At 46.5% G+C, this 13,493-nt stretch overlaps 1 protein-coding gene across 3 annotated transcripts, besides 9 other annotated features; it reads right to left on the bottom strand.

Moving 5' to 3' along the window:
* On the bottom strand, window positions 1,155-12,921 carry CALM1 (calmodulin 1). Of its 3 annotated transcripts, none has more exons than NM_001363669.2 (6): window positions 12,765-12,921; window positions 9,328-9,358; window positions 8,021-8,164; window positions 5,455-5,561; window positions 4,909-5,044; window positions 1,155-4,734 (listed from the first exon to the last, which is right to left on the bottom strand). In NM_001363669.2, the coding sequence occupies exons 3-6, from the start codon at window positions 8,088-8,090 to the stop codon at window positions 4,706-4,708; spliced, it is 342 nt and encodes a 113-aa protein (NP_001350598.1). In that variant the 5' UTR covers window positions 8,091-8,164; window positions 9,328-9,358; window positions 12,765-12,921; the 3' UTR covers window positions 1,155-4,705. The 3 variants fall into 3 exon arrangements, with proteins under 3 accessions (NP_001350598.1, NP_008819.1, NP_001350599.1); NM_006888.6 differs by lacking the exon at window positions 12,765-12,921 and adding an exon at window positions 12,190-12,394; NM_001363670.2 differs by lacking the exon at window positions 12,765-12,921 and adding an exon at window positions 10,336-11,256.
* Window positions 3,783-4,982: an enhancer, noted in NCBI's record as "CDK7 strongly-dependent group 2 enhancer chr14:90870785-90871984 (GRCh37/hg19 assembly coordinates)". NCBI's record gives its function as "activates an origin of replication core promoter dependent on BRD2, BRD4, P300/CBP, MED14 and CDK7 cofactors, with strong dependence on CDK7, by STARR-seq in HCT116 cells {active_cell/tissue: HCT116}" and the evidence as "EXISTENCE:reporter gene assay evidence [ECO:0000049][PMID:35650434]".
* Window positions 10,663-10,962: an enhancer, noted in NCBI's record as "active region_8881". NCBI's record gives its function as "activates an Ori minimal core promoter by ATAC-STARR-seq in GM12878 lymphoblastoid cells {active_cell/tissue: GM12878}" and the evidence as "EXISTENCE:reporter gene assay evidence [ECO:0000049][PMID:35858748]".
* Window positions 11,023-11,092: a silencer, noted in NCBI's record as "silent region_6011". NCBI's record gives its function as "represses an Ori minimal core promoter by ATAC-STARR-seq in GM12878 lymphoblastoid cells {active_cell/tissue: GM12878}" and the evidence as "EXISTENCE:reporter gene assay evidence [ECO:0000049][PMID:35858748]".
* Window positions 11,133-11,202: a silencer, noted in NCBI's record as "silent region_6010". NCBI's record gives its function as "represses an Ori minimal core promoter by ATAC-STARR-seq in GM12878 lymphoblastoid cells {active_cell/tissue: GM12878}" and the evidence as "EXISTENCE:reporter gene assay evidence [ECO:0000049][PMID:35858748]".
* Window positions 11,283-11,832: a silencer, noted in NCBI's record as "silent region_6009". NCBI's record gives its function as "represses an Ori minimal core promoter by ATAC-STARR-seq in GM12878 lymphoblastoid cells {active_cell/tissue: GM12878}" and the evidence as "EXISTENCE:reporter gene assay evidence [ECO:0000049][PMID:35858748]".
* Window positions 11,843-12,002: a silencer, noted in NCBI's record as "silent region_6008". NCBI's record gives its function as "represses an Ori minimal core promoter by ATAC-STARR-seq in GM12878 lymphoblastoid cells {active_cell/tissue: GM12878}" and the evidence as "EXISTENCE:reporter gene assay evidence [ECO:0000049][PMID:35858748]".
* Window positions 12,133-12,182: an enhancer, noted in NCBI's record as "active region_8880". NCBI's record gives its function as "activates an Ori minimal core promoter by ATAC-STARR-seq in GM12878 lymphoblastoid cells {active_cell/tissue: GM12878}" and the evidence as "EXISTENCE:reporter gene assay evidence [ECO:0000049][PMID:35858748]".
* Window positions 12,283-12,702: a silencer, noted in NCBI's record as "silent region_6007". NCBI's record gives its function as "represses an Ori minimal core promoter by ATAC-STARR-seq in GM12878 lymphoblastoid cells {active_cell/tissue: GM12878}" and the evidence as "EXISTENCE:reporter gene assay evidence [ECO:0000049][PMID:35858748]".
* Window positions 12,304-12,598: an enhancer, noted in NCBI's record as "tiled region #5900; HepG2 Activating DNase unmatched - State 1:Tss, and K562 Activating DNase unmatched - State 1:Tss". NCBI's record gives its function as "activates a minimal TATA promoter and a strong SV40 promoter by Sharpr-MPRA in HepG2 and K562 cells {active_cell/tissue: HepG2 | K562}" and the evidence as "EXISTENCE:reporter gene assay evidence [ECO:0000049][PMID:27701403]".

Raw genomic sequence — 13,493 nt, 5'->3', positions numbered from 1 at the left:
GTCACTTGGACTGAATCCCTTACAGGCCCAGTGGTAGCCTCCTATTTCCGTCCTGGGAGAATGGAAGTCACTTAACAATCAGTTTCTCTGACCCAGGTTCCAATATTACATCACGTCTTAATAGCAAGCTTAACCTCCACTCCACCTCCAACATGAAGCTGGTGAGAATTTTTAAATCCCATTTGTCATCTCAAAGGACACAGCACTCCTACACAATTTTGCCTCCCATCCTTTAGGCTGCAATTTCATCTATCTAAACACAAAGTGATGCCAAACCAGGTCGGTCATAATCCTAGAAAGCCACAGGCAGAAGGTACCAAGTCCAATATGATCTTACCAAGGAGGATACCAAGGCCTGGGAAAGGTAAAGAACCTGCCTGAGGCTGGAGGGACAGAACCAAATCCAGAAGCCAGGTCTAAAGCCTCAGAGCAGAGGGCCGTCTCCACGGTGATGACCATGTCCTTATAGTCCCAGCTCCTATGTGCAGGAGGGGCTCTTTAAATGCTTTCTGGAGATGTGTCTCAAGCCTTCTGTCGAAAGCAGGGCCTTATCCCGCCCCGCTTTTCAGCCCTCTCACTCCTTCTGGGCAGAGTGGGAAACACACGAGGCAGCTGGAAAAGGCCTTTCTGGAAGCAAAGGGGGCAGAAGCAGGCAGCCTCTCCTGCTACATCTAAGAACCAGGGTCTGGGCCAGTGTTGACTAAGGGGAAGGCTTCAATGCCAAGGTCCTAAATTGTACTTGCATCCCACCCCACTTTCCTCAGCTGTCCCGCTCTTGACATGAACCAAGGTATCATCTTGGTTGTCATCTAAAATTCCCATCTTATTGAAAAAAATGTATTTCTTTATACAAGTCCTAAAGAGGCTTGGATTGGGGTTAAAAGGAAACTAATCCTTATGGTGTAAATTTTCCGCATAAAAAGCAAGCATGGACAAGTTAATAGGCTAAGAGAATAGGTTAAAATGTCAGCTATTAACACTCAAACTACTTAAAACTAGGGTAAGACGGTTGTGGGATGTGTCTACGGTTATTTCTGGCCCCTCACTCTCACAGTACTAGAGACCCAGTGAAATTACATCTGAGGGCAGGTCTATCTTGTTGAGAGCAAAAGGAATTGAAAGCTATGCAAGCTAGAAACCTACACAGTTCGCAGTTAGAGATGAAAGGCTGCAGAAATGTTTATTGAATACAGTGCCAGGTTTATAAATAAAACGTATTTACAATTTCCATAGAGTTGGTCCCCCATCAGAGAGGTGGTTAAATCTCCAAACAGTTTATCTCAAGATTTACAGAAACGTCCAAGTACATCTCCTTTTCAAATAGCCATGGTGAAGGGCAACTTCAGTAACAAAAGAACTACCACCATCTTTGCTACAGAAGTGTTTAATAAACATCATAATAGATTTGGAGAAAGAACACACACTCCACCCATGCCACTACCTTCTTACTCCAAGGGATACAGACAGCAAAGAATTTCTGTCTCCTACAGGACAACTTCAGGGGATTAAAAAAACAGTAACTGCCAGCTGGAGGGATAGATTAAGACACATTAGTGGAAATCTAGTCACTGCCAAAGGAGAAATATATTTAGGATATACAATAAATAATTCAAATGCTTAAAATAATTGAATGAACGGAAGAGTAGACTTGACCAAATTTACATTCGTTGTTCAGGAAGAGATTCCCAGTATGCTGAGGGGTTCGTGGTAAGCTATTCCTCTGACGAGACACAGCAGCGCTGGGCCTACTGCACAGCCGTTCATTACAATATTGTTACAAGTACAATCAGACATGCATTTATAAAGAGAATATAAAAATATGTACAATAGCTCATTTTCAATGTGTGTAAGTTGCCGAAAGACACCAATGAAAGTGTGCAAAAATTCATTTGTCAAAAAATCAGAAAAAGCCTTCCTTGGCAACAGTGCATCAAAAGCCCATCTGAAATATCGAGATCCATTTGCCTCGCTCAACACCTACCCCAAACAGATGGAGAACAAAACTATGAAAGGGTTTGCCAAGTACTCAGCAGTTTCTTATGGCAAGTCTCAGGCTAAAGCAGGATGCCAGTTCAACTAATCACTTTATATATAAATATATGTATATATTTATAGAGTAGTTAGAAGTAGGGGCAAGAGTTTACAGGAAGGTCCTAACCAACTTCAAGGGCACTGCCAGGACACCCAGCTATTTCCTCTCACAAACTCATGCAGACTAACACCCAACGCCTGGGCTGGTCATCCCCCCAAATACCAGGGCGGAAGGCTACAGTGGATTCTGCCTCACCTCTGCTCAAAACTGGAACTCAGCATTCCCTGGAGGGGGAGGGTGTAGGGTTTCTGGTTCCCAGACAGGATCCTGGCCATACAAGAATCCTGTTTCAAAGGTAGTCTTTTAGGATACGCTGCAGGACCACTAAGAGTCCACCCAGCTTCTAAAGACTTGAGGGTTAGAAGGCTACATTTCGAAAAAACAAGTCAAATATCCCCCTCCAGCCCCCTTTGAAACTACCGAGAGGTCATCGACCACAGGCCTGAGACTGGGTCAGCAATCAGGCTCTTTGACCACCCCCTGCCACAAGAAATATCCAGGACATTAACTTACTCAAACCAGGAACCCTATCTCACCAGAAGAGAAACCCCAAGGTAACCTTAGGCATTCCTTTCAGATTCAGGTAATTACAAAAGCCAACCCTTAGCTCATAGTGTCAACATCTCCTCTACCAACCACCCAGCCCAAGGACCAGTAGCAGAAGCACATGGGCGATGTCTCCCCTCCACTGCTCTGACCCACCCCTCTGGCAGAAAATCTAACAAGCTACAAAATGCCAGAAAGACAGGGAGTAGGAGAAGGAGAAGCCAAGGGTCTCTATAAATCAGCCCTGAATGCACCCATTTGGCTGCCAAGAGCTTCTCACTGCCTTGCTAGCAGCCTGCCACTGTTCCCTGGCAAATTGAAACCACCCACGCAAACACTCAAAACCCCAATCTCCTTGCTAATAAGATACAACCAGTTAACACCGTGAAAAATGCACATCTCCAGCCTTCATTTCAAAAAAGAGCTCTGTACTAAATGCAATATGCTTTTAAAGGGGGTTTTACAGGGACCAATCTCAATGCAAAGACCAGTACCAGATGTCTGAGTTTTGGTTACAGGTTTATAATTAGACACAAAATTCACTCCACACTGGAGTTTTACTTTCAAGCTGGAAGCTAGCATTAGTTCTACTTGGGGGGAAAAAAGCAAAGTCAAGTCAACTTGGGAAAAAAAAAAAAAGGAGGAGGAGGCTAAGTATAATCATAAATTAAAAGTCGCGAATCAAAGGTGACTGGTAGTGTCTTTTAGGCATGAAGAGACTGGCTTACAAAAGTGACTACTGCTTCTACCACACACAGCGAAGATTGAATTACAGACACACTAAATCATGTCTCTTGCAGATGGTCTCAAGTAGTTACATAAGACAGGTAATCAGCAGCACAATTGAGAACAACCCCTAAATACATGCTTGAGAGAAAGTGGGTTTTTTTTTTTCCTTAAGAGCTCTACTGCCTGAATAGATCATTAAAAGTTACCATAATTCACCTTCCCCCCTCCCCCCAGTGAAAATGCAACTAGACCTACATGTCCATAAATAGGATGAAGCAATCGGTATCTGCTTGTTTTCAGGCAAGGTCTTGGGCTCAGAGGTTGGTGCTGGGGCCTTGGGAGGGAAACCCAATGCTGGGCTGTGGGCATTTACATGTACACTGGCCTCCCCTCCACCTGCCTTGTCCCCATTTAGATCTCAGCTTTACAAAGCATTTAACACCACTTTAAGTTAATGGTCTTTTTATTGGAAAAAAAAAAAAAAAGACTAGCATTTACAACTTGGAATGGACGTAAACTGTAATTTCTTTGAACAGCAATGTTGATGGTTGTGCTGAAGTCCACAGCCACAGCCTACTCTGCCGGCTCCAAGTCATGGTTCAGAAGGTTTTAAAAACAGAGAGTCCAAAGATGCTCCCTTGGTAAATGTTTCTTATTAAAAATTTGTGTGAACAGTGACAGCCTGACACCTGTTTCACTCTAGAACAATGCAGACAACGCTAAACCAACATACACGGGCATGCCACCAGGGTGTGTCATCGTCACCATGGGTCGGAGCACACGAAGTACAAGAGGACCATCCTACCAGTGGGGCCACGTCTCAACGGTTTATCCTTCACCCATTTTTCTGCACGTCATCCTGAGGTAAACCAATTTTAAATGTGTTTGTTTTCAGTAAACCAGCTATGACAATTTATACTAAACAAATTGAACTAGAACCCATTTGAATAGGTTTTGAATTTGTTTTTTCATTTTTCATTTTTAATACAAAGGCCTGACTGTGCTCAATCGTCAAGCTGCATGCATGAAAAACTGGCCAGCCCAAACAGTGTATTAATCATTAGCAAATGGAACTTTAAGGAGTCCTTATCATTAAGGTAGTACAAGTATTTATATTGTAAAACTGATGTGTAGCTTGATCTTTAGGGGACAGGACCACCAACCAATACATGCAGATTTTGTGTGTGTGGACAGAAGGTACTTTTGACATTCAGTTTTGCTATATAGAAACAGAATGAATAAATGAACTTTTTTCTTTTTTCTTTTTTTTGCAAGAGGTAAGTAAAAGATTCAATTTGATTCTTCTAGAGGGGGGAAAAAGGAGTTGAAAGTAGGTCTTCATTTTGCAGTCATCATCTGTACGAATTCTGAAAAGACAAATATAATAGTAACTTTTGGTTATCTTTGAAAACAGCTTTAATGAACACAACATCTTTACTGTACATAAAATAAAGTCAAAGGCTGTCTAGTGAAGCAGTTGGCTTGCTTACAGATCTAAAGGTAAGACTATGAAACACTGAGCTCAGAGAATTTAGTTTTACCTTCATAGTTGACTTGTCCGTCTCCATCAATATCTGCTTCTCTGATCATTTCATCTACTTCTTCATCTGTTAGTTTTTCTCCTAAGTTTGTCATGACGTGACGTAGTTCTGCTGCACTGATATAACCATTGCCATCCTGTGAACATTCAGCAATTGTTATTGCTAATGATGTAGTGTGGGGAAGTAGGTCTTTGACTTAGCTATGCCCTCTCAAGTTACTGCTAACTCTGCTGCCATAAACAATTCTCTGATCTCTAGTTCCCACCTCTAACCTACTAAATACATGCAAACAGCTAATGCAGAAAACAGGATTTGCAAAAGCTCACAACAATTCAAAGTAACAGTCAAGAAACATGGTCCAAAATTCCTATTTATTATGCCTACCCTCCCCTGATACGGTTACCATAAGGAGGATTTTTGAAAGTGAGATCAGAGGCTCAGGCAGTTAGATTTAAGTCTTCTGTCTATAACATTATTATAGCTTTTAGAAGTGAAAGCGGAAGAAGCCATACTTAAGTACCATCTGCTATGTAGATGCTGGATTACCTTGTCAAAGACTCGGAATGCCTCACGGATTTCTTCTTCACTATCTGTATCTTTCATTTTTCTAGCCATCATAGTCAAAAATTCGGGGAAGTCAATGGTGCCATTACCTCGAATTAAAAAACAAAAAGCTCATGTAAAGTAAGCACTCCATTAACGCTGCTCTGCAGTAATCATTTCAGAACCACTGTACGGAACGGTAAACATGTACTAGGACAAAGGGGCAGACTATCTTACTAGGTTCAATCATCTGCAGGTCTAAAACGTTCAAACACTTCACAGGGCAATTTCACATAATTTCAAACTCATCATCAGTGCCCAGGATAGTATTTAATTATACAAAGGAAACTGCACATCTGGATTCAAGCCCATGGAAGGGTCATGAAGGGCTGTACAGTTCAAGAGAAAAATAGCATACACCACTCCGCAGGCTGAATCTTTCCACTCCGAGGGAAGAAAGCGCCCCCGACTGCCATCCCTGAGTTAGGGAAATCACTCAGGTCTCACTCTGCCTTGGTTAGTGACAGCAGTAACACAAAAAAGGCCTAGAACTGAGCTGCAGGTTAAGTGTATAAAGTGTTTCAGAGGAGAAAAGATTATGAGAGAGGAACATTGATTCTGTTATGCCATGCATGGGCCATGAAGTCTTACCAAGTCTTCTCCAGGATCATTTCTTGGCCACGCTATGATGGTTAGCCACCTGTTTTCTTCCAACTCAGTATCTTTATTTCCCATTAAGGGAAAAGCTCAGGAGCATTCTCACAGCTCAGACTAGTAACACTTAGGGAACTGTCAGAACAATCTGTTCTACGGCCAGTACTCCAAACAACTCCTCTTTAAAACTAAGAGATGAATACCCCCAAAGACAAGCACTCCAGACTAACAGTGTCATTGAACTAAATGGAAATAAAATTAGAAAGAAAAACCCTTAGGTTAAGTTACTCATTTTCACCAGTACCTTTCAAAGAAAATACCTCAGGGATCCCTTCAAGACTTTTTTAGCCTCAAAAATTTTAAGATATTGTTCATATTCATCAAAAACAAAAGAAATTATTTTAAGCTATCTCACAGCCATGCAGAGAAGGTCAGGTACCATCCTGTTTTCTCAGTGCAAACACAGGATTCTGTAGCCTGGCACAACTTCTCCTTCTTCCACACAATCCAAGAGCCTAACAGACTTCTCCCCTCCCCAGGCACAGATTCCCGGGGCTCCCACAAACAAGAGGAAGTTACTCCACGTTCCTGGGTAGCTGATCATCTTAGCAAACTAGAGAACTATGGACAACCTTTTCTTTCCAAAACACTATTAGTGAAAACCACTCTAACGTGCTGAAGGCTTTGTCAAAGAACCTAATCAAAAGCTCTGCTGCCAAATGTTTGTGACCAGACAAGCGATTTTACTACACCACCCTCGAGTCAATCATCTAGAAAGTAAAATCTAGATCCGAATTGTTTATTCTTAATGCTTCTTTTATTTTTTCTTTTATCCTTTTCTCCTCCCAACTCATCTTTTAAAAATCATGTTCTATACTGTCATACAGTACATTAGAATATATATAGGATTTACCAAAATACGTGGTTTTTTTTTAGGGGTGGGGAAGTGTGCTTCAAAGCCTGCTTACTGATGGAAATCAGCAATCAAAGTTCTGTTGTCCGCTGCTGTAGAGTCGAGAGGAACAGATGACAGACCGCTATCAGGGTTACTGCTGGTTCCCTCTGGCCCTGCACCTTACAGCTTCCCTTTCCGTTAGGTTCTGCAAATCTATCCCCTGGAGTCACCACACATCCGCCTCCAAACCTCACATGCTCCTCTGCAGCAAACACATCTACAGCTCACACTGTACTCACTTTTATGGTAACTTCTAAGAGTGCTCGTCACCTACTTCATCTGGGGGTTCCTCCTCCTCTTTAAACACAGTAAGTTTGTTAAAAAGCACTTTCTATGGCTATTTAATTTCACCTCCCCCCTCAAGACTCAGTGCAGACTCATGGGCCAGTTGATAAAAGCTTTGAGCTCGGCCAGGAGCAGTGGTTCACGCCTGTAATCCCAGCACTTTGGGAGGCCGGGGAGGGCGGATCACGAGGTCAGGAGTTTGAGACCAGCCTGGCCAACATGGTGAAACCCCATCTCTACTAAAGATACAAAACACTAACTGGGCGTGGCGACACACGCCTGTAATTCCAGCTACTCAGAAGGCTGACGCAGGAGAATCGCTGGAACCCAAGAGGCAGAGGTTGCAGTGAGCCGAGATCGCGCCAGTGCCACTCCAGCCTGGGCGACAGGGCGAGACTCCGTCTCCAAAAAAAAAAAAAAAAATAGATTTGAGCTCTAGGTCGCACCAAGCAGGAAGAAAACAATAGTGATCCCATGCAGAAAACATTCTAGACACTAAGCAGGATGGACGCAAGGCCCATCATCTTCTATTTTAATTGTCAATGGCCCTGGGGCAACCACAGAAAGGATCTTTGCACATTTGCTTTGCTCTGGGGACCTGAAAGACAATCCTGTAACATGTCTGAACTTGAATTACACAACAATGGCCCTCATTCATGGTTTTAAAGCTCTTACCATCAGCATCCACTTCATTGATCATATCCTGCAATTCAGCTTCTGTTGGGTTCTGACCCAGTGACCTCATGACAGTTCCAAGTTCCTTTGTTGTGATGGTGCCATCGCCATCTTTATCAAATAGGGAGAAGGCTTCCTTGAATTCTGAAAACAAAAGTTGACCCGTTAGAATCAATGTCTTTATCCAACCCAGTCACAATACACACTTGCCGGGGGCTTGCCAAAGCCAGCCATTCAAGTTGTGCAACGTATCAGAAGTCTGGTCTTTATCTACTGAAATAATGACCACAATAGTCCTGTTGGACTGGCCTTCATACAGCAGCCCATAAAGCAAACACTGCTCCCAATAAACAGTGCCACACACCACAATATTCCCAAAGGTTTCAAGGCGGCTAAGCTGGAACATGCTTAAATTAGTCCTAAATCCAATCTTTTTTTTTTTTTTTAAACAATGGAGTCTCGCTCTGTCACCGAGATTGGAGTGCAGTGGTGCAATCTCAGCTCACTACAACCCCTGCCTCCCAGGTTCAAGGGACTAAATCCAATCTGACAAGATTGGTCCATGTGCCCCCTTCAAATCCCTTCCTGTTACATTTCTAAAGCCATAAGAATCCCTTGTTTCATAACAAATAAAATGGTTACTAGAAATGTACATTCCCAGGTAAACTCTCTCCACATGACTTTTAGAATATTTCAGAAGCATTCCTGGTTTCCTAACGAGAAACAGTCTCAAAACAAGTCCTCCAGGAATATTAAAAAGCTAAAATCTGCCAGACGTGGTGGCACATGCCTGTAGTCCCAGCTACTCAGGAGGCTGAGGCAGGAGGATTGCTTGAGCCCAGGAGTTAGAGACCAGCCTGGGCAACAGAGTTTAACTAATGTAACTTTCTTCCCAATTACTACAGTGGTCCTAACACTCATATTCACCCATTTCCATTTATTTTAGGATAGCGAGCACAAGCTTTCGTGGCAGATTACTGAAAGACCCATGGCATAAGAATTGTAAACTAAACCGCTGAGTAGCAGGCTCAGTACAATTAATCATACGCAAACTTTGCACATTGTGAAACATGGTCAAATTCTCCAGAGTTTAACATGTGGGCATCCTTAGTTTTACTTCCTTTCACCTCATCTATAAAGTACTGGCAAGAATAACATCTGACCTCAGTGTTTCTGCTTACTGTTCTTATTTAAATAAATTCTTAGAAAACTGCCCAGACTGTAGCGGGGAGGAACAGAGGAGTCACCAAAACTGAGTCAGTGCCTAGTTCTGGCCTTCTGGGGACTCCTTGGAGTTGTCAACTTACCAGCAATCTGTTCTTCGGTCAGCTGATCAGCCTATATGAAGAAAGAAAAGGTTATCATTCAGTCCACGACATGTTTGGTTGATTTCAACATAGGTTTTCCAGTTATACTTTTAATATTGTGATCTTTCAAAAATCAATCTTAAAATCCTTTGAAACCTGTAGCACGGTCATTTAATGAAAGTAAATAGAATAAAGAAAACTCCTTATGCTATTTTAACAAAGGATTACAAGGAAGTGACAACATCTGCTCACTTCAAGTTTTCTTTTCTGGGCCCATGGCTTACAGCTTGCTCTGCGATCTAACTAGGCTAAGTTCATCATGTGAAAAATGGCACCTCTAGTGGCAGAAGGCCCCTTGGCACCAGCTGCAGTGGCGGCAGGCTCTAAGACAGAAGAGCGCCACCTACTGCACCATGGACACCGCAGTCCCCCTTTCCACTCAACAAGGGACCCAGCCCACTGCCACTGCCATCACAGCCAGGATAAGGATCTCATCCAGGGGCAGGCTTTCAGCGCACCTTGCGCACTGCTCCAGGCCCTCGAAATCTCCAAACTGGCGTTACATAATGGCATTGGGTTGGATTAACAGGCTTTTATATCCATTTTATGAGAAATAATTAAGTAGAAAAAATAAAGATACAGCAACTGGGTACGCCACCAACTTCATTTCCATGTAACAAATGCTTTCCAATCCTTTAAATTAGGCAGTTATTTGTTAAAAGCCTACCATTACAATGGCTAATGCCCTGGGTCAAACTATCCTATGATTCAGAAGCCAGGAAAAAATGGTACCATCTTACAAATGAAGTGTTACAAAACTGCAAAAATTAAGTACACAGAAAACTACACAATAATTATCAAACTATATATACTCCTCTCTTTTCTGGCAAAGAGTATCTACTAAATTTGCTGGAGAGTATTAACCCTACCTACCTTAAGAATGACATAAGAACTGTTCTTAATAAACACACTTCGTTGGAGGCAGTAATGGCCACGAAGGTAATTCACCTGCATTATTTGGTCTCCACTGAACCTGTGCCTCCAGCCGAGGGAACTCGAGACCTCAAGGAGAGCTAACGTGGATTTCTCTTTTAAAGAAGGATGCCTAAGAAGCCAATTACAAAATAAGTCCTAATAGAAAGCTGATGAAGTTTATACTCTTAAGTGAAAACTTTAACAGTAGGAATGGTGTTCCAATATATTGATTCTGGGTGAAAATTTGTTTTTACAAATTATAAACGGATCTTTCTTTCTACCTCAATCACTAAAAATTGGCTTTCTTTAAATGACGGAGACACGATGATTTACGTAACGCCAAGGCAACATCTGTCTTGTACAACAGGAAGCGCTGCCACACCTCGCAAGAGAAACTGTCACCTTATGGGGAGAACAGTCCCACCTCGCTACAGAACTCTCTTGTTAGAGGGGTTACCAGGAGCATCCAACTTTCTCGACAACGAAAACCTCCTCCCCCAAATGGCGCTAGCCCTGGGGGCAAAGGTGTACCAGAACCCTGCGGGGAACCATCTCCCCACCCGCCAAACCAGAAACGCAGTCGGTGATGTCAGCCCTGCACGCCGAGGAGGAAGGGGCTGTGGAAAACACACCCAGCGAGGCGCACAGTCGCATCTGGCAATCTAGAGGCTGCAGAGAAAGCAGAAACGTGGAGGGCATCTCTCTGCGGACTGGAAGTGGCGCGGGGCGAGGGACCGGGCAGGGCGCGTGCCCGGGGGCAGGCGTGGGGGGGAAGGCGGCCCCCGAGCGGGCGTCTGGACGCCGCCCCTCCTCGGCCAGGAGGGTCACCACCCCCGGCCCCCGCGCACCAGGGCTGAGGCCAAGGCCACCCGCACCTCCCACCCGCTTCTGCTCCCCCAGGCGACGAGCCCGCGGCGCCGCCGCCTCCTCCCGGAGCAGAAACTTTGCGTCTCTAATGGAAACCAAGCCGCGCGCCAGTTCCCTCCTCCCCCGCCGCCCCCCCCCCCCGCCCCAATTAGCGCGAGCCCAGCGCCTCCCGCGGGAAGTGCCTCCTGGTGCACCGAGGCTCACGCCCGCCCGCACTGCTGCACTGGGTGGGGGGCCGCAGGGTGCGAAAGCGGCAGGAACAAGCCACGGCCACACCGCAGGGCCCCGCCCGGGCGCAGGGCGGCCCGGCCGCCGCTTCCGCCCTCTCCGCCCCCAACCCCTCGCCTTCCTGCCCCCAACCCCACCCTTCCCCGGCTCCTTCCTTCCCAGCCCACGCCCGCGCCGCGCCCCCCGGGAAGAAGGAGGGGAGAGCGACCGAGGGAGGGCGCCCAGCAGGGCCGGCCAAAGTGGGGAGGTGGCGGGCGCTGACTGCGCCCCTCAACACCCGGCCGGAACAATGTGCGCCACCGGCCAGCTCCAGCCCATTCATTCTCCACTGCCCGCCCGACCTGCCACCTTCGCGCCGGCGGAGAAGCGGGGTGGGGAGGGGCGGGCCGGGGGGGGGGGTCTAGTGCCCGGCCCCGCCCGGCTCCCAGGCCGAAACGCTGCGCTGCAGGCAGCCCGGGTGCGGCGCTAGTGGATGCAGTGGGTGCGGGGCTGGGCGGGGGGCAGGGGGATTGGATGCAGAAACCCCCGCTGCAGTTGCGGCCGGAGCCCCTGCCCGTGGACGGCCTACGACCAAGTCCAGCTCCAAGGGGAACCAATAAATGAAGCTCCCTGGCAGAGGTCGCCGAGATGCAAATCCAAAATGCAACCTCCTTTAAGCGCAGCTGCTGCGTAACACTCAGAAAAGAAAAACCTCCAAGAACCAAAAACAAACAAAAAACAAACAAAACAACTAGAAATCTGGGAAGAAATCTCGGGCAGCTGCTACGCCGGCATTTGCCACTCCCGACCTACCATGGTGCGAGCGAAGGGAGGAAGAGCAGAGGGAGCGAGGGTGGCTGCACCAGCGCGGGGGCTGCGACGGCGGGGGTACCTCCGATGCCGCTGCTGCTGCTGCTGCTGCTAAGGCGCGCTGTGCGCTATGCCGCCGCCGCCGCCTGCGCCGCCGCCTGACTACGAGTAACGGCACGGCGTCCACGACACTCCCAGCACCACTGCCGGAGCGCGAGTCTGCGCCCCGCGATATATATATGGTGCGCCGTATCCCTCCGCCGCGGCGGAGCCGCCTCGCGCAGAGCGGCGCTGCGGCAGCCGGGCCTTGCCCGCCTGGTCCCGCCCCCGGGTTCGCCAGGCCTCCCGCCGCCCCCTGCGCGCCAGTCGCGGCGGCCCTACGCTGGGTCGGGGAAGCGTTCTAGGCTGGGCGCGCGGTCTCGGGTCAGGTGTGGCGGGGAGTCCTCAGGAGACGCCCACCCTGGGCGGGGGCGAAGACAGAGCGCCTGCTTAGTCCAACCTGGGGGCGGCCCAGAGCTTCGGAAGCCGTTCACTCCGCTACCTACCCCAGCCTCACCCCACCTGGGTGACCCTCCCACCTCAACATCTCCAACCGCTCCACTAGGGCTGCCGGCTCCCGCGTGCCCCTCGTCCTTGGGTCTGCAGCGGCCACTTCCAGTTTGGGGTGCTGCAGGAGGTCCTGAGAGTAGGGGGTCCGCGGGGAGGTGGAGGCAGATTGGCCACACTCCTTCAGCTGCCGAGGAGAGGGGTCTGCAGAGGACGAGGTAGTTGTCCTCCTGGAAGAAATTGGTCCTCTTCGGATTTTGGAGCAGTATCCGAGTCAAATTATTTATGCTCAGTTGCTAAATCTGTGTCATGCTGCGATGTTTAATCAGTCTTTAATGTTTTTACGTTTCCACTGAATATTTTTTAGGATGCCTGAATATTTCTCCCCTACTATTTTGTTCTTTTTCCTGGCGCCCGTCTTACTAAAATTAGTGTACCTGTGCAGCTTCTACAGACCTTAAACCCAGGCTTTAAATTTTTCGTAATTTTCCTGATCCTGAGAAGGGTCAGAGTCTTTATTCATAAATCCATAGAAACAAGGGAAAAAATAGATGCTTCAAATCCTCTGCATTACAAGTGGAACACACAGCCAATTGCCTCTCTTATGGAGCTAGATTGTATTTTAAACTACAGTTTTGATTATATTCCTTTTAAAAGACTATTTAAATCTTTAAATATACTAGTGTTTTCCATTTTTTATTATATTCCTTTTAAAATAATATTTAAATCTTTAAGTTTACTAGTGTTTTCCATTTTTCTGT

Source organism: Homo sapiens, chromosome 14, assembly GCF_000001405.40.
Source record: "Homo sapiens chromosome 14, GRCh38.p14 Primary Assembly".
In the NCBI taxonomy this organism is placed as follows: Eukaryota; Metazoa; Chordata; class Mammalia; order Primates; family Hominidae; genus Homo; species Homo sapiens.
This window is presented reverse-complemented; position numbering and strand designations above follow the sequence as displayed.

Coding starts and splice junctions, on each gene's coding strand:
- CALM1 (NM_001363670.2), bottom strand. Junction 5,562..8,020: donor CAATGAAGTGGATGCTGATG/GTAAGAGCTTTA, acceptor TTTTAATTCGAG/GTAATGGCACCATTGACTTC. Junction 5,045..5,454: donor CATTCCGAGTCTTTGACAAG/GTAATCCAGCAT, acceptor GAATGTTCACAG/GATGGCAATGGTTATATCAG.